The sequence below is a fragment of the Homo sapiens genome, chromosome 14 (genome assembly GCF_000001405.40).
Source record: "Homo sapiens chromosome 14, GRCh38.p14 Primary Assembly".
In the NCBI taxonomy this organism is placed as follows: domain Eukaryota; kingdom Metazoa; phylum Chordata; class Mammalia; order Primates; family Hominidae; genus Homo; species Homo sapiens.
In genome coordinates this window covers 88,476,719-88,499,644 of record NC_000014.9, presented here as the reverse complement: position 1 = coordinate 88,499,644, position 22,926 = coordinate 88,476,719, and the positions used below count along the sequence as shown (strand labels likewise).

Below are 22,926 nucleotides of genomic sequence, written 5' to 3'. Positions count from 1 at the left end.
AGTGTAATCTTCATAACACTGTCAGCAGTAGGTATTACCACCACTTTGCACGTGTGATAATTGAGGCTTAGAAAAGTTGTGATTTGTCCATGGTGACCCAGTTATTAACTGGCATAACTAGGACTAGAACTTGGATCCTCCACTTTATGCGTGGGCTCTTAATCGCTGTATTAAACAGCTTTTATTCTCTCCACCGCCTACTCACTGCCCGCCCCACAACACACACACTACTCAAGCTTTCTAAACCACTCCTACCATTTCTTCTTGAGAACTAGTTTGGCCTTTGAAGAGCTTTTTCTCTAAACTGACATCTCCTCCCTCACTTCCTTTGCTTTACTGCCTCTTGAGCCATGAATTCTCCATGGTGATTATGACCTCAGAGAGTACGCATCACTTGGGGAGCAGAACCCCATTCCTAGAATGCACTGCCCTGGGCTGGGTGGCTCCCCTTTGGCAGTTGCTCTCTCGTCCCCAAGCCACTTATATTAACCCTTCCCAACATGCTGAGTTGGGGGTCAGGGAGAGGAGAGGAAAATGGATCCGTGGCTTCACCTGAAGAGCAGGGCTCTGATGGTGCCCAAAGTGTCACATGGAAACTTGAGGCTTCTACCTGGCTTCCTTTATCACTGGATAGGAATTTTCACAGTTGCCTTAATGTGATGCTAATAATCTTTAGATTTAACAAACAACGGAATCCGTACTAAGTTGATTTTATTTTAATACATTTAAAATAAATAAATCTAATGGAGAAGGATAAAATTTTTTCTTCCATAATTTTTTCTTTTTATAAAATTCTGTGATTAATAAAATCAAATATTAACATATAAAAGCTAATACGATAAAATTAGAAAGTATAAGATTTTGAATCCTAGTGATCACTTCCAGAATAGTTCACTCTTTGAGTTCCTGGCATTTCAAATTTATCTTCACCCTGAAGCTTTTCAGAGCACACCTCCCCCACTTTTGTGCCTTATTTTAATACCTGCAGCACTTAAAAGTTCTTGTTTGCTTCTGTGTTCTTTCTCCCACCTTTCCCCTCCAACTGTGCGAATTTGAGGGAAGCACTGTAACTCACTAATCTTAGTGTCCCTAGGACCTACTGCAATTTCTGGCATTGTTATAATAGGTGTCTTTTATTTTGTTGAATGAATAAATGGGGCATTGGCAATCAGCTAAGAGAGGGATCTTCCATCAAGCAAATCTGACACATGAGAATGATACATTTTACATCTTTTAAATTCTCTTTTCCCTCATTTATTATACATGAGTTTACTTTTTGAACTAGCTGCTGTTACTTCAATTAGAACATTCATGCTAGCTGATTAAAACCACTGTTTTTTTTTTTCTTTTTTCTGTTTTGGTTTTTTTTGAGACAGAGTCTCGTTCTGTTGCCCAGACTGGCATGCAGTGGCACAATCTTGGTTCACTGCAACTTCTGCCTCCCAGGTTCAGACAATTCTTCTGCCTCAGCCTCCCAAGTAGCTGGGATTACAGGTGCCTGCCACCTCGCCTGGCCTAGTTTTTGTAATTTTTTTTTTTTTTTTAGACAGAGTTTCATTTTTGTTGCCCACGCTGGAGTGCAATGGTGCTGTCTCAGCTCACTGCAACCTCCGCCTCCTGGGTTCAAGCGATTCTCCTGCCTCAGCCTCCCAAGTAGCTGGGATTGCAGGTGCCCACCACCATGCCCAGCTAATTTTTTTTGTATTCTTAGTAGAGACAGGGTTTCACCATGTTGGCCAGGAGTCTGAAACTCGTGACCTCAGGTGATCCACCTGCCTCGGCCTCCCAAAGTGCTCGGATTGCAGGCGTGAGCCACCATGCCTGACCTAGTTTTTGTTTTTTATTTGTTTCTTTGTTTGTTTGTTTGAGGCAGTGTCTCACTCTGTCGCCCAGGTTGGAGTGCAGTGGTGCGATCTCGGCTCACTGCAAGCTCTGCCTCCCGGGTTCACACCATTCTCCCGCCTCAGCCTCCCGAGTAGCTGGGCCTACAGGTACCTGCTACCACGCCTGGCGAGTTTTTTCTTTTTTTTTGTATTTTTAGTAGAGACGGGGTTTCACCATGTTAGCCAGGATGGTCTCCATCTCCTGACCTCGTGATCCACCCACCTTGGCCTCCCAAAGTGCTGAGATTACAGGCGTGAGCCACTGCGCCTGGGCTAGTTTTTGTATTTTTAATAGAGACAGGGTTTCACCATGTTGGCCAGGCTGGTCTCGTGTTTTTTGTTTTTTGTTTTTCTCAAAAATGTTACCAAATGCTAACTTACACGTCAGGCTTAGGGAAAACTTGTGTATTCTATCTCCTTGTTTCCCCCATGGGCACTCACATTGCCAGTTCTCTATTTGCTGTTCTTTAGGTGGCATGACATTGCCAACATGTCCCACAACAAGTCCTTTTTTGCATTAGAGCTGGCAAATAAAGAGGAGACCATTCAATTTCAAACTGTGAGTAAACATTAGGGGTCTGCATGGAATGTTTTTCCTAAAAGTTAACAAGTTCTACTTCTGCGTGCCTGTATGTGTTTGGAGGCAGGGCAGCATTAAAATGATAATATTTTGTAATTGTATAAAACATGCAGTTTTATCATATAGCATTTTGCAAAATGGCAGTTAGCAAAAAATGGCTGCTCAGTAAATGCTGAGTGAATGAGTCTTTGGATAACTACTGTCTGATCATGATAACCTTTAAATTAAACTTCAGGGATTATGTGGGGGAGAAAGTAAGCACTGATATCTTAAATTTCATTGATAAATGAATAGCTCTGAAGAAATGTTATTTAACAGTTACTTGCTTTTGCTCTCTTGACAAAGGCAATATTGAGTTACTGAGTCATATTTTTGTTTAAAAATGTCTTTGAGTATATTTGGCAAGAATAAAAGTTGGTATTTTTATAGTTTTTAGATTCCCAAGTCATTTTGAAACTGTTTAATATGAGAATCACACTGTTAGAACAGATTGTTTTGTCTTCATAAATTAAATCCTACTTGTGGTATTCATACCATGGGCACAGTGTTGGAAAATGAAAGGCTTATAGTGTTCTGAAAGTGACTTTGTCATATGATGTCACCCATTATGTCTTTAGACAAACTCTGCATTAAACGTATCAAGTTGTATGTGTGCTTTCATATTGCTTTATGCCTATTTTGTTTGCTAGGAAGACATGGAAACAGCAAAATACATTTGGAGACTCTGTGTTGCGCGACACAAGTTTTACAGACTAAACCAGTGTAACCTGTAAGTATGTCCTGCTCATGGAAATTATCAAAAATAATGAATTTAGAAATTGTAATCTTGAGTATACTGTATCATCAAGAAAGACATTTTATCAGTTGACATCTTTTCTTGATCCTATAGCTGTTTTCCTATTTTAGCTTTGGACCAACTTGTAATAACTACATTGTATGCCTCTAAGATTTATTTCAACTAGTTACAAGAACCATTGTAATTCTTGAAAGGTAAAAAGGGAATAATATCCTTTATTTGTTTAAATCAATCCTCTGGTAAGCATTTTGAGTCATTAAAGATTATTCAGCTTTTCCAGCTATCTGAAGAATTTTTGCCCCTCCTTCCTGGTGTGCATTTTTCTTAGCCCACATGGGTTTCTTACTGTTTGCCAGATCAATAAAGCACACGGTGATATTGCACATATAAAATATTGTCCTTCATCTATACTCCCCTCCAGCCTCTGCACCATATCTCTGCTTTCCTGAATAGCAGGTTTCCTCAAGAGAGTTGTGTATGCTTGTATGTTTCCTTCCTTCCATCCCATTTTCCCTAAGCCTCCACGTTACTGATGCTGCTTGTTGTGGTCAGGTGACTTTCGTCCAGTGATCATTTCATGAGTTCTCTCACTTGACCGCTCCGCAGTACTGATCCTCCGACAGCTCCTTCCATCCTTCTGGAATCCTGCTCTTCTTCGGCTGCCAGGACACCACCCCCTGCTCGGCTTCCTCTTTCTAGGCTGTTTCTTCTCAGTCACCTTTGCTGGTTTGGTCCTGAGGCCTTTTCTCCAAATCCTTTCGTCTAGGGGGCTTCTCCTGACCTGTCCTCCCCCTGAGCCCCCGGTTCAAGTGATTCTCCTGCCTCAGCCTCCCGAGTAGCTGGGATTACAGGCATGCGCCACCACACCCCACTAATTTTGTATTTTTAGTAGAGACAGGGTTTCTCCATGTTGTTCAGGCTGGTCTTGAACTTCCAACCTCAGGTGATCTGCCTGCCTTGGCCTCCCAAAGTGCTGGGATTACAGGCGTGAGCCACCGTGCCCGGCCCTCCTTGAGCTCTTGACTCCTGCATCCTACCGCAAGCATTTAGTGTGCTTAGTCCTCAATACCACTCTGAAAGTTGTGGTGAATATATACTACTGCCTGTATATTCTGAAGGTAGAGCTGGCAGAACTTGCTGATGAATTGGATGTGGTATGAAACCTGACCATTTTTACCACTCGTGTTAACAGCTTAGTGCTGGCTGCCACTACTTCTCATCAGAATACTGAGGTAGCCTTCTGACTTTCCTGTTTCTGTGCCTTCGCTGCCTGTAGCTTATTTTCCATATGTCAGCCAGAATGATCTTAGTTTAACCTGAATCAGATCCTGACACTGACACTCTTCTTTTTTTTTTTTTTTTTTTTTTTTTTGGAGACAGAGTCTCGCTCTGTCACCCAGGCTGGAGTGCAGTGGCACGATCTTGGCTCACTGCAACCTCCGCCTCCCGGGTTCAAGTGATTCTCCTGCCTCAGCCTCTTGAGTAGCTGGGACTACAGGCACATGCCACCACGCCCAGCTAATTTTTTGTATTTTTAGTAGAGATGGGGTTTCACCATGTTGGCCAGGATGGTCTTGATCTCCTGACCTCGTGATCCACCTGCCTCAGCCTCCCAAAGTGCTGGGATTACAGGTGTGAGCCACCGCACCCTGCCCAGATCCTTTCACTCTTCTTAACCCTCCTTTGGCATTCCACTTCTTTTTTTAAGTAATTTTTTTAGTTTGTTTTTGAGACAGCTCTGTCACCCAGGCTGAGTACAGTGGCATGATCATGGCTCACAGCAGCCTCTCAACCTCCCTGGGCTCAGGTGATCCTCCCACCTCAGCCTCCTGAGTAGCTGGTACCACAGGTGTGTACCTGGTTAATTTTTTGGTGTTTTTTATAGAGGCAGGATCTCCTTATGTTACCCACACCGGTCTCAAACTTCTGGACTTTAGGAATCCTCCTGCCCCGGCCTCTCAAAGGGCTGGACAGGTGTGAGCCACCAGGCCTGGCCCCATTTTACTTCTAATAAAAGTACGAGGCCATACACAGTGTGGTCCTTGCCTGGTTTCAACCTTATGTCTTTTATCCTCCTCCCTGCTTGCTCTGTTCCAGCCACAGTGGTATCCTGGCTAGGCTGCAGATGTGCCTCACCCTAGGGGATGCTGTCCTTGCTCTTTTCCCAGGTCTCCACCTGCCTTGCTCCCTCATTGCAGCCTGCTGTCTGGTCAGATATGACCCTCTTCAGAGGCTGTCCCTGATTGTCCTATGGTACCCCCCTTCCACTATGATCTGTCTCTTTACCCTCTAACTTTGTTTTGTTCTTTATAGCACTTAGCACCATGTGAATTTCTATATTTGTTTGTTTGTTTGTTTGCCTGTATCCCCTGCCAGCAGGTTAGCTCTAGAGCAGTGCTTGAGGACAGACACTCTTCCCTGCCTTCAGTGCTATATTCCCCATGCCAAGCAAGGGCCTGGCTCACTGTCGGCCTTAATGAATTTGTTCAGCTAATCTATAGATACAGGTGTTAAGAGCTCTGATTCAAGATGTCTTGGTGCTGTAAGATCCCTTAGGAAAATGGTACGTCACCCAGAACTGCCAAGATAGGAAAGGCTACCCAGCCAAGTGACATCTAAGCTGAGACCCGAAATGTTGCACTCAATTCCCACAACCTTTCTTTAAGCTGTCCTCTTGTCCCTGGTCCATGTCTGGAGGCACCTCCTGGAGCTCCCTCCCACTTGGCCCCCCACGCCCTATCTCATCTGTATGCAGTCAGTCTTCTGGATAGATAAGCAAAATATGTAGCACTGCTCTTGAAGTTACATGTCAGGAACAAATCTGAGCATGTGCCTCTCACCCGCCCCGTCCTGGGTACAGGATTAAGGGCAGACTCCTGAGGTCCTTCTCTGGACTTAGCTGCCCCAGCCCAGTTGGCCTTGGAGTCTGACTCCAGGAAGGCATCTTTCCTTATCATGTGAATGCCCCCAGCCCAGGCCTTTGCTAAAATGCCCTTCCTTCCCTTCTCTGACAGACTCTTAGTCATTCTTCAAGATTGAGTTTAAAATACAGCCCCCATAGACACCACCAAACATTCAGTTTGCTTAGTCCTTGACACCACTCTGAAAGTTGTTTTTTCTACCTCTTTTATAACAATGACCTGAATAATTCATAACAATAATTTAGTAAATGCTTGCTCTGTGTCAAGCATTATACTGAGAGCTTTTATTTTCTTTAATCCTTACAGTAACCCTGTTGGGCACAATTATTACTATCCCATTATTGATGAAGGTATGGAGACTTACAGAAGTGAAATGTCTTGCCCTGCCACACAACTAGTAAGTGGAGCAGCAAGACTCGAGCCTGTGCTCTTAGCCGCTGTGCTAGCCTGTTAGAGTAGTTCCTGCCTGCTTTTTTCATATTGACAGATATCAACTGACAGATCATTTTCATTTGATCTGTCTCTCTTGTTTGATGAAGCTCCATGAGGGCAGGGTCTCCTCTTCCTCATCTTCGTGTCCCCTGTCTGGCAAGGTGCCCGGTGCATAAGGGCTTAGTGAACAATGGGAGCCGGAGTGTGGCAGTGATGGGAGTCACAGGGGAGAAGAGCACTTTTGCTCCTTTGTCTCTTCCTTTTATTACAGATTGTAAATGAGGCATGGGGTGGAGGCAAAGTCTAACAAGGGCATTTTGTCCCTTAGCACCAGGAAGGAAGGAGAAAGGCTGTGGAAGTGCCTTCTGTCTTGCAGGGTGTGAGAGAAACTCTGGGCAGGAGCAGCAGTGTAAAGATAACATGCGGGGATGCCCACCCGGACGGGGAGCTGGCCAGTGGTTTGCATGTATGGCCCAGTCCCTGTCTCTTCTCTGCCTTCCCCTGCACCATGTTTGCATCCGAGTCCCCATCGCTGGTCTGGTGATGGGATTTTCGTAAGCACTGACAGGGAGGAGGAACCTGCTTTCTTTGTAAATATGGGAAGCGGTTTCTGCTAGGGGCCTGGGTGTATTTGCATATGAAAGTGTTCCCCCTGGTGGTGATATTCAGTAGTGCTACTTGCCTTTGGGGTTCCCTGGGGCTGGCCTGGTTATCCAGCCATATGTGGCATGATTTCTATGCAGAAGTAAGTTCTAAGATTCAAGCAGTAGATAATGCAGTCTGTTGGACCACAGCATTTTCATTTTAAAGACTTTAATAAGTTAAGAGTGTTCATAATATTGAGCCATTATTACCTCAGTTTGTTTCTTCTCTGGAAAATAGTGGAGAGTCTACATTTTGAATAAACCATAAAACATAATCCCTTTCCATGAGGCATCCATATTGGTTGGTGGTTAGTGCCTGTTTTTTGTTTGTTTGTTTGTTTTGTTTTGTGTTTTTTTTTTTGCAAATTAACAACTTGTAATAAGTAAAAGAGGGAAGAGGGAAAAGCAACAAATGATTGATTATGGTGAATGAGTCTTAGAAATTCAGCTCTAGTTTTTGGAATATTGCTATTTATTGGCAAGTGTGAACAAAACTACATTAATGTCATCAGTTGCATATGCTATACCTAAATAAGGAACACCTGAATCTTTTTAAAATGGAATAGTTATGTTTAAAGGGCTGTTTTCCAAAGTTTGCTTTCAATCTCTATATATCCAATAGATTGTGGCAGTCGATTTCCATGAGCTATTCCTATGTAATTACTTATGATTCATTCTGTAGGGAACTAATATATTTCATTGTGAGCGTTTGTTTCCCACATAAAGTAAATGAAGCTTTTAATATTAGCTTTTAAAATTTTGCTTGATAATAAAATGAAAAGAACTTTAATTGTTATGGCCATGTTTTAAAGGCTCTCAATATAGACTGTTTAGTCATGTTCCAATATTATGATTCTGAAGTATTGGTAGACTTGTTGTCATGGGCCAGATGGGTAAACTAAAGCGTGATAGGCATTTAACAAAACTGCCCCTGGCCTGGAACTGGACGGTGGCTTCTGGACATCTGCTTTGGGCTGGGGTGACTGGTGGCCCAGGAGATAGACTCGACTTGCACAGAAAGGGGAACTGTAATCCCAGGGTGTCCCCTTTACCCCCAGTCCTGATCTATTGTAGTTTATTGCTGCTTGGGATGGCCTTATGTGACTCATCTAATCTTGACCCAGATAACTATATTTTAGTATTTATACAATGGCATAATCCAACAGCCTTCTCCCTCCACCCCCTAACAAAGTGCATTAGATAACAGAATGATCGTTATCCAAACCTTAAAAATGTTAGATGGATAACAATCTGTCTTTTAAAATTATAAAGTGAGGATATTGAGACTTTTATACTTAATATTCCTTTATGGTTGAATTGGGAATTAAATGACATAATAATGTCAACCTGTTAGATCAGAAATCTGCTTCAAACCCACTGTCTCTCACTCTAAGCCCCAGAACTGGTCATGCTGTAAGCACCCTCCCTGATTTATATAAGGAAAATGCCGAGAGAGTTGGGGAGTCATGAGAGGCCCCTTGGTGTAGGTGGCTCCCCTGCTCTTTTCTGTGAGGAAAAGGGAGGATGGTATCCTTCAACCTGCAAAGCCAAGTGATAGAGGGTTCAAGAGACTTTCTCCAGAAGGGAAACTTGTATTTCAGACTGCAGCAGGCCACTCGCTGAGCGCAGTGAGATGGCTGGTGAGTGCTCCCTGCAGCTCAGGGGTGTTGGTGAACATAGCAGCCGGTGTCCACCTTGGTTCCGGAGACTTTTGTAATCAGGAGACTGACTAGAGTAGGCCCTGCCTGGAAAGGGAAAGAGTTTACCCATCTTCTTGGCCTACTGCAGGGCTTGAAGAGACTATAGGAAGTCTGGAAGAAGATGGAGCAGCCCCTATCCCATTCCAGTCCCCTGAGCCCCAGAAGTGTAGAGAGGACCCAGTAGTTCCCATGGATCCATGTGAAGGAGCAGGGCAGGAAGAGGTGGGAGGGGAGAGGAGGAGCAGCCACAAGGCCAAACAGTGGGACCTCTGGGTATGGGGACATGGACCCCTGGTGGAGCCGAGGAGAGGCAGCGGCTTTTTCTGAGTAGGTTCTTATATGGATAAAGGTCAGTGTCACCCTGGAAAACCACACATGTCGGCCGGTCACGGTGGCTCATGCCTGTAATCCCAGCACTTTGAGAGGCTGAAGCAGGTGGATTATCTGAGGCCAGGAGTTCAAGACTAGCCTGGCCAACAAGGTGAAACCCCGTCTCTACTAAAAATGCAAAACTTAGCCTGGCGTGGTGGCGGGCGCCTATAATCCCAGCTGCTCGGAAGGCTGAGGCAGGAGAATCCCTTGAGCCTGGGAGGTGGAGGTTGCAGTGAGCCAGGATCGCACCACTGCATTTCAGCCTGGGCGACAGAGCAAGACTCCATCTCCAAAAAAAAAAAAAGAAAACCACACATTTCATGGGGCTGGAGTGACACTAGGGCCTCTCCCTCCATCAGTATTCCTTCCCAGTTACCTGAGATGGTCTCTGCTGGCTTTGTTCCTCTCCCATCCCACAATGCCAGGAAGCTACACCTAAGGCGGGGTTTGGTAGGGGGGTGAACAGTGGAAGCAGGCATCCCAGAGCCAAGTCAGTGACCTGTAAGCAGCTTGGATGCAGCCCTGGTCTACCCAAGTGTAGGCTGGGAGGAGAGCATTTATTCTTCCTTACCCTTACTATAGTGAGCTCAAAAGGTGTAAGTCATTGAGACAAACATTTGCTAGGTATTTCCACCATCTAACACTTTTATTTATTTATTTTTTTAAAGAGACGGGGTCTTGCTCTGTCTTCCAGGCTGGAGTGTGGTGGTGTGATCATAGCTCACTGTAACCTCAGACTCCCGGGCTTAAGGGATCCACTGGCCTCAGCCCTCAGCTTCTGAAGTAGCCAGGATTATAAGCGTGTGCCACCATGCCTGGCTAATTTTTTTTTTTAGTTTTTTAGAGATGGGGTCTTGCTGTGTTGCCCAGGCTGGTCTTAAACCCCTGGCCTCAAGTGATCCTCACATCTCAGCCTCCTAAGTACCTGGGATTACAGGAAGGAATCTATTCCTTGAACTATCTATTAGTGCATGAGCTTTCAATGGCATCTTTTTGTTTATCAAAATCTTAACTCCCTTACATCGTATAAGAAAGGAAACTTACAAAGCAAAATTCAGACGAGGCTTAGAAATACAAGCTCAGCTGTAAATGCTTAGTAATAAGCATCACTTTAGTCCTCACTTGTTAGTCACTCATTTGCTCAGCAAAGGCACCAGGGATACCACATCTTGCCTCCACGGAGCTTACAGATTAGTTGGGGTTGGGGAGCAGGTTGGACACATGATTGTTAGACACATACACTCAGGAATCTGACAGACCTGCTGGTTCAAATGCCGGTTCTACTACTTGTTTGCCATGTGACCAGGAGCAACTTACTGAACTTACGTATCACTTTCCTTATCTGTAAAATCAGGATAATAACTGGACCTCCCTTATGGGTTTGGTGTTCACATTCCACGAGATAATCATGTACAGTCCTTAGCACAGTTTCAATAAATAATATTGATTTTACTTGGGCTGGTAGACTTTTTTCTTTTTTTTAAAGACACCAGGTCCTAGTATCCCAGTTTCCCAGGTAGAATATGGTGGGAATTCGCAGATGGGATCGTAGTGCACTACAGCCATGAACTCCTGGATTCAAGGGATCCTCCTGCCTCAGCCTTCCAAGTCGCTGGCACTACACGGGCATGTGCCACCACGCCTGGCTCAGCCTTTTTAATTTTTATTTTGTCTTCTTTGGCACACAGATTCTAGTGATTTCTTCTCAGTTATTTAGCAGCACCCATCAACATAGTAACTGCCCAAAAAGTTTGGAAACCACAGCCAACAGTTACATGGTTTTCTCTTGTATGCCAAGCTGAGGATAGCTGGTCTCAGAGTAAACTGCATTTATAAGAACAATGCCAAGAAGAAAGAGAAGGTTAGACTATTAGAACTGATGGCGTGGCTGCCTGGGTCAAGCACTTTGGCAGGTACACGCTTTTGTAGTTTGTTTTCTTAGTAGAGCCGGCTACTACAGTGGGCAGTGTTCGCCTCCACACTGGGTGCTGCGGCAAGAGCGCCAAGATAAGCTCTCAGTGTGGGAGGGCCGCCCATGTGCTGAAGCTCTGCATCCTTGGGTTTTGTGTTTTATTTTTGCCCCAGGCTGGGCAACTGTAGACATGTTGTTGGAGTTTGTTGACAGAGAATTCTGTTGGCAATCCTTGTGAATTTGTAGTACTTTAAAAGTTTCTTAAGTTCAGTCCATCTAGACAGTGAGTCTCTGCTAGACTGAACACAGGGTTCAGAGGACCCAGTTTGCCTAAACCTAGTCCTGACAATGAAGAATAACCAGAGACAAAGTAAATTTCAAGGCTGCAAAAATGCAGCGTCTTCAAATTCTGGGCACTATTTTTTTTTTTTTTTTTTTTGAGATGGAGTCTCACTCTGTCGCCCAGGCTGGAGTGCAGTGGCGTGATCTCGGCTCACTGCAACCTCCGCCCCCTTGGCTCAAGCGATTCTCCTGCCTCAGCGTCCTGAGTAGCTGGGATTACAGGCGCCTGCCACCGCGCCTGGCTAATTTGTGGGCACTAATTTTAAGGAATATATTAATGTGCAGTTAAGGAGTATTTTTTATTTTTTATTTTTTATTTTTTAAAACCCAGACACGCCATGCAGACTTGTGTCACCAAAATAAATACTGGAAGAATGGAATATCTTTTGGAAAAGAGACATTTATTTTTCATTAACAGCCTGAATACTTTCCAGTAACAAAGAAATGAAATTATTTATAAAAGCTAGTAAAAGCAGTTGTAATCACCTGATGTTAAAACTAGTATGTACTAGTTTTCTTTTTATCTCAAGAGTCTTATAAAAATAAGCTAATATTCAGGGTTTTTGAATATAAGATACTAGTTTTCAGAGTGCTAAGAGTAATATTAATTTATGAGACATGAGGCTTGATATTATGGTAAATTTGCTTAAATGGATTGAATATTCACTTTGTCATGATGGATTTTCTAGTAATTAGTCCTTAGAACACTGTAACCAAAGGTCACAAAATATTTTTGTAATCAGTGATTATGTGTTACATAAGTACATGAACCAGGAATAGGTGGTAAAAGGTATAAGAAAAAGTGCTTTGACAAAACTACATGTCATCAACAAAGCCAAGAATCCAGTGTGTTTAGGTTCCTAGATCTTGCAGTAAAACTGACCACACAGAAGAAAAAAAAATCTTGCCTTTATTTGAAAACAATAGTTACAAATGGGCTTTTCTGTGTCTGTTTCCTTTTTTTACCTTATTGTTTTTTTAAAGATAGAACTTGCTGTGTGAGTAGTTGAAAATCTCACATTATCACATTAGTGTTTGTCAGCACTCCCTAATACGTTTAGGTACTTTTTTTTTTTTTTTTTTTTGAGGCTAGAATCTCGCTCTTGTTGCCCAGGCTGGAGTGCAATGGCGCAATCTCGGCTCACTGCAACCTCTGCCTCCTGGGTTCAAGTGACTCCCCTGCCTCAGACTCCCGAGTAGCTGGGATTATAGGCACCCACCACCATGCCCAGCTAGTTTTTGTATTTTCAGTAGAGATGAGGTTTCACCATGTTGGCCAGGTGGTCTCGAACTCCTGACTTCAGGTGATCCACCCGCCTTGGCCTCTGAAAGTTTGGGATTACAGGTGTGAGCCACTGCGCCTGGCCTTAGGTGTTTTTTTAAAAAGTATATTCAAAACAAATCAGAAATTTCTTGCAAAGAAAGGTAAATGGGTTTACCATCGGCTCACTGAACCAAGTCTTGTGCTTTGCTTTCCCTTGGTTCCTTAGAGGAAATGTAGATTTAAAAAATACGTAGGTTTGAAATTTTTTTATATTTGAGTTTTTTAAAAGATGGGGTCTCACTATGTTGTCTAGGCTGGTCTTGAACTCCTGGGCCCAAGATGCTCCCAAGAGGCGGGTCTACAGGAGCATGCTTACTGCACTTGGAAATGTAGATTCTTGTCACTAAAATCATAAATTCATTTCTTCATTATGTTTGTAGTCTGTGGTTAACAGACTTTTAATTAAAGGCAGTTCTTACTGCTTGAGGCTTCTGGGTTGACAGTGGATGGTCCCCCGGGAGGAAGGTTAGTGGAGGGACCCAGGGCTCCCCCAGCGCATAGGAGAAACACATTTGCATTTGCACTGAATCCAGCTTCTCCTGCGACAAGTGTGTGGGTGATGTAGCCTTGTCTCTTTCCCCACTGCTTATGGCTAATCCAGAGGTTTATTGGATGGGCCTGGGAAGTATGCTCTGATCCCCTTGTGGGTCCAGGCGATGATGCTGTGTGGGGAGCCTGAAACCACAGGGCAGGTTGACGGGTTGGGGCAGCAGGAAAGGGCTGAGGCCCCACGGGCCGACAGAGAACCTCCCTTCTTTTCTTTGACTTCATGACTTAGATAGCTTGTCTTTTTTTTTGCCTGAGAAGATTTATTATTTTACATTCCTATATCTTGTTTTGGTAGAATTTAAGAGAGAGTGTGTATGTGCTCTTCTCAGAGTCATCCTATTTTATAGGCAAACTCAGACTGTCACAGTGAACCCAATCAGGAGGAGGTCTTCTTCAAGGATGTCTCTGGTAAGAAACAAGGAAAATATGATTGCTTTTTTATTTTAGTGATGTTTTTCCTGAATAAAATATGCTTTCAATGCTGTTAATTTTGAGTTTGAACCATAAAAGTGTATTGATATTTCATCATTTTTAACCAAAGAAATGGTAATTTTTTCCCATAGGTCCAACCTAATATTTATATTATTATATTATACATATTTGAATATTAGGTCTGACCTTAATATTAAGAACTTAGACTATTGGCCAAGAGTAATCCTAAGTTGGTATATATTTAAAATACTAGATGCCTTTAATAAGATTGACTATAATACCTATAAGCTTCTTATGTTGAAATGTTTCTACAAGGAAATGTGTATCTATTGCTTCTTGCTCTTAGCTTTTTAGATGCAGATTTTCTGGTGGAGCCTAATGTCCTTGGTATCAGTCATAGGGCTTGACATTGCCATTTGGGGAAACAGAAATGCTAGATATGTTAAGAACTACTGTGTCTTCATGTTTATTTTCCATATATAATATATTTAATTCCTTTAGAAGTTTTTTTAACAGAAAGAATCCAGTGGATAATAACTTTACCTGTATTACATAAGCAATGTGTTTCAACCCTGTGTCAAACTCTCCATTTCTTAGCCTAAACCCCAGCCCTACGTGATGCCTCCCCCACCGCAGTTGCACTATAATGGACATTATACAGAACCATATGCTTCTTCCCAAGGTAAAGTACACTGTTTCTGCCATGCCTTACATAGTTATGACTATGGATAAATCTGTGAATGCTTGGAGATCATGAAGCCTGGACAGTTTTTGGCTGAAGTTGCACCCCAAATTGCATCATGATAATAGCTATCCTGGATTCATAAAAGAAGCCAATATATTGTTTTTTGTTTGTTTGTTTGTTTTTTTGGAGACAGAGTCTCAATGTGTCACCCAGGCTAGAGTGCAGTGGCGTGTCTCAGCTCACTGCAACATCCACCTCCTAGATTCAAGCAATTCTTGTGCCTCAGCTTCCCAAGTAGCTGGGACTACAGGCACGCCACCACGCCTGGCTAATTTTTGTATTTTTTAGTAGACATGGGGTTTCACCATGTTGGCCAGACTGGTCTCAAACTCCTGACCTCAGATGATCCAGGTATATTTGGGTTCTTGAATGTATGTAAAAACATGCAGTATCAAATTTTGATGCTCCACTGGTCTCAAATTTGGCCAATGGGAAACTATCAAGCTGGTTCCTGTGTCCTTTTACCACCACCCTATTAGCCTTTAAGTGCTTCTTTGCTATCTGACAAAGAATTCCCAGGGTTACTTTTCTTTCCCTGCCAGAGGCTTTCCTATTGTAAAAGTTAAACACATGACTACTGCAGTTTTCACATGAGAAGTATAAGGAATTGTATTTATAACAAACCCCCAAGCTGAAGTTTAAGCAGTCAATTAACATTTACTCTATACTCTCTCTGTATGGGGCTATACCAAATGCTAAGGAGGTTTATGCAGATGAGTATTTCCACATCTTAAGAAGTTTATCTTCAGCCTGGACCACAGGGCCAGACCCTGTCTCTACCAAAAAAAAAAAAAAAAAATAGCTGGGCGTAGTGGTATGCACCTCCAGTCCCAGCTACTCAGGAGGCTGAGGTAGGAGGATTGCTTAAGCCCAAGGTGGGGGTGGAGGTTGCAGTGAGCCAAGATTTTGTGCTACTGCACTCCAGCCTGGATGACAGAGGGAGACTATCTCAAAAAAAAAAAAAACACCTTAGAATCTAATAGTTTAAGATAAGACAAGTGCACAAATAACTTTGTCTTTCTCCCCTGAACCCCTTTTTCGTGGAGAATGGGGTCTTGCTATATTGCTCAGGGTGGTCTCAATCTCCTGGGCCCAAGCTATCCTCCTGCCTCTGCCTTTCTAAGTGCTGGGATTATAGGCCTGAGCCACCACTCCTGGCACAAATAACTTGAATATGATAGTTTTTCTGAGACAGCATGTGCAATTACCATGCTCCTCAGTGGAAGAGAGACTCATCACATTGGGGAGATTGAGAAGAACTTTCTGTATCTGAAAAGATGGGTGGATTTCAGCAGGTAGAAAGGCAGGAACTTGACTGGGGTTGCTGTTCCTAGTTTTGGGGATAGTGAACGCCAGGCACAGAATGAAGCAGGGTGTGTTTGGAGAGTAGAGTGGTCCAGGTTTCCTCTCGGGTAAGGAACTGGTAGGGAGTGATGCATGAAGGGACCAGAAGGTGGGATGTGACTGTATTGTTTGTGTCGGCCCTGGTGTAAAAGATGAGGGTTTTCATGCAGTGAGGTGGGTAGTAGAGAGCAGGGCTTTGGGTGTAGAGCCTGAGAGCATCCCCCTCACCATGTTCTTGTATTTCCTCCCTCTTGCACCCTGCCCTTGTCTGGTATTTGCAATCCCGGCCCCTCCCACTTCCAGGACCTGGCTGTCCTCTGCATTGTTAGTCTCACTTTGCCACTCATTCTCTTCCCTCTGTCTATAAACATCTTAATATTGTTCATTCTCCTCCCTTTAAGTAATGGTTTGAGTGATCTGCTTTCTTTTCTCACTGACTTTTTTTTTTTTTTTTTTGGAGACGGAGTCTCACTCTGTTGCCCAGGCTGGAGTGAAGTGGCGCGATCTCGGCTCACTGCAAGCCCTGCCTCCTGGGTTCACGCCATTCTCCTGCCTCAGCCTCCTGAGTAGCTGGGACTACAGGCACCCGCCACCACGCCCGGCTAATTTTTTGTATTTTTAGTAGAGACGGGGTTTCACCGTGTTAGCCAGGATGGTCTTGATCTCCTGACCTCGTAATCCGCCTGCCTTGGCCTTCCAAAGTGGGGATTACAGGTGTGAGCCACTGTGCCCAGCCCTTTCTCACTGACTTATAAGAGTACTCTCTGTGTGCTGCTTCTGCTTGCTGGTTACCCGCCCACTCCTCTGTCTTTGCCACTCTGTTAAAGCGGCCCTCTGGGAGCCTCCCAGCACCCCCACATCCCCTCACCATCACATTCAAGCCTTTGTACCTTCTGGAAACTCTCCTGGCATGCTAGGTTTTTCCCTCCTCCTTCCCATCAGTATTGTTTGGTGAGCTCTGCAGGTCTGTCCTGTGGCTTTTTCCCTCCCTCTGTGAGCTTCCCAGGGATCTCATCTACATTTAACATTTCTTTTCTTTTCTTTTCTTTTCTTTTGAGATGGAGTTTCGCTTTTGTTGTCCAGGCTAGAGTGCAATGGCATGATTTTAGCTCACTGCCACCTCTGCCTCCTGGGTTCAAGCCTCAGCCTCCCAAGTAGCTGGGATTACAGGCATGCGCCACCACGCCCAGCTAATTTTGTATTTTTAGTAGAGATGGGGTCTCTCCGTGTTGGTCAGGCTGGTCTCAAACTCCCGACCTTGGGTGATCTGCCCACCTTGGCCTCCCAAAGTGCTAGTGTTACAGGTGTGAGCCACTGCACACGGCTGTGTGCAGGATCATTCTTTTGCCTGGTGTTCGAGACTCCACACAATATTCCCTGAGCCTGCCCTTCCAACCTTACTTCCCAAGTTATTTTACTCCTCTGTAGCTATCTGACACTCTAGCCACCCCAGCTTGCCCAGGGGTGCACCCTGGCTTTGCCAGTGCCGCTCTGCACCCTCAGGTGCCCTTACCCCATGCACCCTTCCGTTCACATGCTGCCATGCAGACCGGATAGGCAGGGCTATGCTGTGCTGACAAAATACTCCATTCCAAACTCTCAGGGAAGTAATAATAAAGGTCACCTGTCCGTTGCACACTGTACTAGCAGGAGGGCTCTGCCCTGTCTGAGTCTGCCGTAGGGGCTTGAGCTGGAGAGGCTCTTCTCTCTGGAATGTTGTTGGTCAGTGTTGCAGTTGGAAGAGAGCCTGGAAGCTGGCTTTTAACCCTCTGTGCACTTTCCCTTGACCATTACTAGTCGCATTGTTGTGCCTGATATCAAGGGGTGAGGAGGGGTAACCCTGCGTGCTCTGAGAGGTGGAGAGACCTCACTTCTGATGGAAGCTGGACACGCCCACCCCACCCACTTACCCCTCAAGTCCCCTTAACTGCCATATCTTGTGAGGTGGTTCTTGGTTCTCTCTTCCTTGTCCCCATCAACCCAACTCAGGCTGGAAATGAGCATTTCTTCCTCTGGACTCCTGTAACCCTTCATCTCTTCTCCCTTCCTTGAATTATGGTGATTTCATGCATACCTTTCCCCTTTTCTTGCCTGTATTCCAACCATCTTTTCCTCCTTCTATTCTTAGTATTGCCTTTTCCACATAACAGTCTCATAAATGGCTAGATGGTTTGTGGGGTGCAGAAGCAGGGAGACTAGGTGTATATAGAGCTAGTTCAGACAAGCTGGGGTAGGGGCCCGAGCTGTGGCAGCAGTGAGGAAAGGGGGATTGCAGAGATGGAGCCATGACCAAGCTTTGCATAAATGAGGAAAGCACAGTGACATGGAAGTGCTGTGTGTCAGCAGAAGAATACCATGGAGATTTGAGTGCTATTTCCTCACAGCTGCATGTGCCACCAGAATAAAGTGTACCCACTGGATTGTGGTGTATTACTTAAGTATCACCATGATCACATAAATCACCATGGAGCTTTCGAAGCACAAAAAGAATGCCTTTCAGAGGAAATTGTTATTTGAAGGAGTTGGCTGCTGAGTGTTAGAAATCATCTAGGGTTAGAAATCATCCTCAGTAACAGAGGGCAGGTGAGCTACAAATTGACTAGAAGAAACATGGCCCCTGTCATCCCTGGGCAGGGACACATGCATAGCTATTTTAAGATTAGGTTAAACTGATTCTGTTAGCTGCAGGTCTGGATCTTCCTGAAACATGGGGGCCAGGGCAGGGGGCAGCTGCAGCTGTTTAATGTGGCTCCTCTTGGCTTCTGGACACTTTATGGGCTGTGTGGCTGCTGGTGACACTGTTGGACCAGAGAAGTTCAGATCCTGCTATACCATTACCCTTTTACAGTCGAAGCTCTCATATTCATTTGGGAAGAACAATAAAAATTTCCAGTTAAGGAAATGCTTACAGACAGTTGGTGCTTGAACTAGCTCAGCAGCAGCAAGGCCACATCCCTACCCAGGGAAGAAAGGCAGAGTCCCCAGCCCAGTGCCTTGAATGGTATCTCTGCCTCAACTTCCCCAGAGTTCCAAAAAGTCTGCTAGTCTGCTGTGGGTGTGGTTCGTTTAAGACAGGGTCTCACTTTGTCACCCAATGAATGCCACCCCTTAAGTAGGCAGAGCCATGCCCATCCTATAGATGAGGAAGCCGAAGCTCCCAGGGTCACTCAGATAGTGTGGCTAAAGCTAGGTCATTCTAGCGGGGATTTTTACAAGCTGTGTTAAAAATGTCATCAGAGGTAAGGGCCGATCTCAGTATTTGGTTGGAGTAATTAGTCCATTTAAAAAAATCTCATTTTGAACTCATTTTTTCTAGATAACCTCTTTGTGCCCAACCAGAACGGATACTACTGTCACTCTCAGACAAGCTTGGATAGAGCCCAGATTGACCTCAACGGTCGGATCCGTAATGGCAGTGTCTACAGTGCACACAGCACCAACTCCTTAAATAATCCTCAGCCCTACTTGCAGCCCTCGCCGATGTCGTCCAACCCTAGCATCACCGGGAGTGACGTCATGAGGCCTGACTACCTCCCGTCCCATCGGCACAGCGCCGTGATACCCCCGTCCTACCGCCCCACCCCAGACTATGAGACTGTGATGAAGCAGCTCAACAGGGGCCTGGTGCATGCGGAACGGCAGAGCCACTCGCTGCGAAACCTCAACATCGGCAGCTCGTACGCCTACAGCAGGCCCGCGGCGCTGGTCTACAGCCAGCCCGAGATCCGCGAGCACGCACAGCTCCCCTCGCCAGCGGCCGCACACTGCCCGTTCAGCCTGAGCTACAGCTTCCACAGCCCGTCTCCCTACCCCTACCCTGCCGAGCGGCGGCCCGTGGTGGGCGCGGTCAGCGTGCCGGAGCTGACCAATGCGCAGCTGCAGGCGCAGGACTACCCGTCTCCCAACATCATGCGGACGCAGGTGTACCGGCCACCCCCACCCTACCCGCCCCCCAGGCCCGCCAACAGCACGCCAGACCTGTCCCGCCACCTTTACATCAGCAGCAGCAACCCCGACCTCATCACGCGGCGCGTGCACCACTCGGTGCAAACGTTCCAGGAGGACAGCCTGCCCGTGGCGCACTCGCTGCAGGAGGTCAGCGAGCCCCTCACCGCCGCGCGCCACGCGCAGCTGCACAAACGGAACAGCATCGAGGTGGCCGGGCTCAGCCACGGCCTGGAGGGCCTGCGGCTCAAGGAGCGCACCCTATCCGCGTCGGCGGCAGAGGTGGCGCCGCGAGCCGTCTCGGTGGGCTCCCAGCCCAGCGTTTTCACCGAGAGGACACAGCGAGAAGGGCCGGAGGAGGCGGAGGGCTTGAGGTACGGCCATAAGAAGTCCCTGTCGGACGCCACCATGCTAATCCACAGCAGCGAGGAGGAGGAGGACGAGGACTTCGAGGAGGAGAGCGGGGCCCGGGCGCCTCCTGCACGTGCGCGCGAGCCTCGGCCCGGCCTGGCCCAGGACCCACCTGGCTGCCCTCGCGTCCTGCTCGCCGGGCCCCTGCACATCCTGGAGCCCAAGGCCCACGTCCCAGACGCGGAGAAGAGGATGATGGACAGCAGCCCCGTCCGCACGACCGCAGAGGCCCAGCGGCCCTGGAGAGACGGGCTGCTGATGCCCTCCATGTCGGAGTCCGACCTCACCACGTCAGGCCGCTACCGAGCCCGGAGGGACTCTCTGAAGAAAAGGCCGGTGTCGGACCTTCTCTCTGGGAAGAAGAACATCGTGGAAGGGCTCCCGCCTCTAGGGGTAAGCCACGCGGCGAGCAGTGCCGGGCCAGGGGACCGCGCGTTCGCCCTGGCGCTTCTTTCACTCATCACGTCCCGTGTTTTTCAGCTCCTCTTGTTCTTTTAACGTTCTTCATTCCCCCACGTCACTCTCTTTTTGTCTAATTCTGAACACATTTAAATTTATGGAAATCATGGGGATCCACTTGAATTTTAGTGGTTTTACTGGAGATAATTATTATAGATGAAGTGAAAAGGTAAATTCACAGGGTTTTGTCGAAATGGAAAAGATGAATGAAATGTTTTAGTAATGCACTGTTAAGGGAAAGACAGTTAAGATTTCATTACTTTAGCCACGATTGCTTTAGCCACCCATTAAAAATACTGTGGGTGATGTGGCACCCCAGGGGTGCATTTGTTTAGTTTGCTCAAGAGATATCTGAAAAAAGCATCCAGGAAAGTGTACCCAATCCTAATATAATTCTCCAGGTTGGAGTGTGTGTGGATACAGCTTACATATCTTGGCCGTGATTCTCCAGAGTGATTCTGGAGTTGGGAAGGTGGCACTTTGTTAAGGCAAATCCTGAGACGTCCAGGTTTCTTAAATTTAAAAGAAAGATGAATTCAGCTGAGAATCTAAGGAAAGTCCCCGGTAGAAGATGCAGTTCTTTAATATTCAGCCTAATAAATAAATATGAATTAAGCACTTTTTACCTACTTTGAAGCAAAATATAAAAAAGCATAGTAGCATCATCTCTAGCTACCATCCTTGGAGCATTTGCCATGGGCCAAGCATTTCCTCTACTTTTGTGGCCTATTTACAGTAAGCCTATTGTTATGCCTGTTTTACAGATGAAGAAACAGACTTAGATATTAACTAACTTTTCCAAGGTCACATGACTAGTGAGTGACTGAACTGGAATTTTAAACCCATACTTAGAAGCCCATTCTGTTATCATCTACACTGTAGATGTATGTTCTGCATTGAAGTATACTGTATATGTTCTATTAAGTCATAATTGCTTGTTGAAGCCTTGCTAGTCTTTCACTGAAACTTTTAAACTCAGTCCTTAACCTGGGACTAAGCATCTGCGGCCTTGTCATGAAGTGTGTCCACCGAAGTGATTTTGTTGCAGTGCTCAGGCTTCCAGCTCTTCCTGGCCCACATCTCCACTCCTCATGCCCTGCACTTGAGCCAGGCTAACTTGATTAGGGCCTCCATCCTATCTCCTGTTGGCTTCCAGTGTCCTGGCAACTAGGGTTCTCCTCCCCCCATCGCTGCTAAACTGCAAACTCCGACAGGACGGCTCATCTCAAGTGTGGTTCTGGCCTAGTGTATGACATCCTTTAAGATGCTGCAAACATCTTGCTAAACAGGAAAAAACGCACACTATTATAGTACTTATGAAAGAGATTAATGTACATAGACAAAAACTACTTAACAAAAAAAGTACCACAGATTTAAATTTGCTTTTTTTTTTTTTTTTTTTTTTTTAGAACAGTCTTGCCCTGTTGCCCAGGCTGGAGTGCAGTGGTGTGATCTCAGTTCACTGCAACCTCTGCCTCCTGGGTTCAAGCGATTCCCCTGCCTTGTGATCTGGCTGCCTCAGCCTCCCAAAGTGCTGGGATTACAGGTGTGAGCCACCACACCTGGCCTAAATTTGCTTTCTTTTAATAAGTTTTGGGTTTGAATTTTAAGTTGATTTTTAAATTTTTCACAAGTATGCAACATAACTCACATCCCTGAACAGTAAAGGCCAATGCCTTCAGTGGACACAGATTTAAGAGTGTAGGGAGCAGTGATTCAGGATAAGGTGTGGGTAGATTTTCCAAAGTAACTCTACCTGAATCCCTGAGCCAGCTGGACAGGGTCCTTTTATAGTTAACACCCTTCCCATTGCATTAAGAACGGTCTGTTTTTATGTGTGACTCACGTACTTTCCCCAAATGCTATCTGAGTACAGCTCAGTACTCAGGCCTATTTTATCCCTGTATGTTTTGAATGGGGTCTGGTAGGTTCAGTTAAATCTGAGGACTTTGATCAATTTGGTTCTCTTAAAAGAACTTTTCTCTCCCATTGACTTTTAAGACCACAATACTAGTAAAATTATGTGATTGGATTATGTTTTTGGTCCTTTTTGCTTAAAGGATTCTACTTAAGGAATGGGTATGGCAGCTGTGGTCACGAGGAAAGAGCAAAGGTCCTACAAGTTAAGAACGTTG

At 45.4% G+C, this 22,926-nt stretch overlaps 1 protein-coding gene across 5 annotated transcripts in view, besides 2 other annotated features; it reads left to right on the top strand.

The window, feature by feature from the left end:
• PTPN21 (protein tyrosine phosphatase non-receptor type 21) overlaps nucleotides 1-22,926 on the top strand; it is an 89,230-nt gene that overhangs the window by 55,363 nt on the left and 10,941 nt on the right. For all 5 annotated transcript variants that reach the window (NM_007039.4, XM_005267287.4, XM_011536367.4 and 2 more), the window contains 5 exons: nucleotides 2,355-2,442; nucleotides 3,153-3,232; nucleotides 13,803-13,863; nucleotides 14,485-14,569; nucleotides 19,293-20,725. In NM_007039.4, coding sequence (NP_008970.2) covers nucleotides 2,355-2,442; nucleotides 3,153-3,232; nucleotides 13,803-13,863; nucleotides 14,485-14,569; nucleotides 19,293-20,725 — 1,747 coding nt within the window. The remainder of the gene's footprint in view (nucleotides 1-2,354; nucleotides 2,443-3,152; nucleotides 3,233-13,802; nucleotides 13,864-14,484; nucleotides 14,570-19,292; nucleotides 20,726-22,926) is intronic.
• Nucleotides 7,013-7,202: an enhancer, noted in NCBI's record as "active region_8841". NCBI's record gives its function as "activates an Ori minimal core promoter by ATAC-STARR-seq in GM12878 lymphoblastoid cells {active_cell/tissue: GM12878}" and the evidence as "EXISTENCE:reporter gene assay evidence [ECO:0000049][PMID:35858748]".
• Nucleotides 16,714-17,244: an enhancer, noted in NCBI's record as "NANOG hESC enhancer chr14:88948745-88949275 (GRCh37/hg19 assembly coordinates)". NCBI's record gives its function as "activates a minimal SCP1, AML or CMV promoter by ChIP-STARR-seq in primed H9 embryonic stem cells {active_cell/tissue: H9 hESC(primed)}" and the evidence as "EXISTENCE:reporter gene assay evidence [ECO:0000049][PMID:30033119]".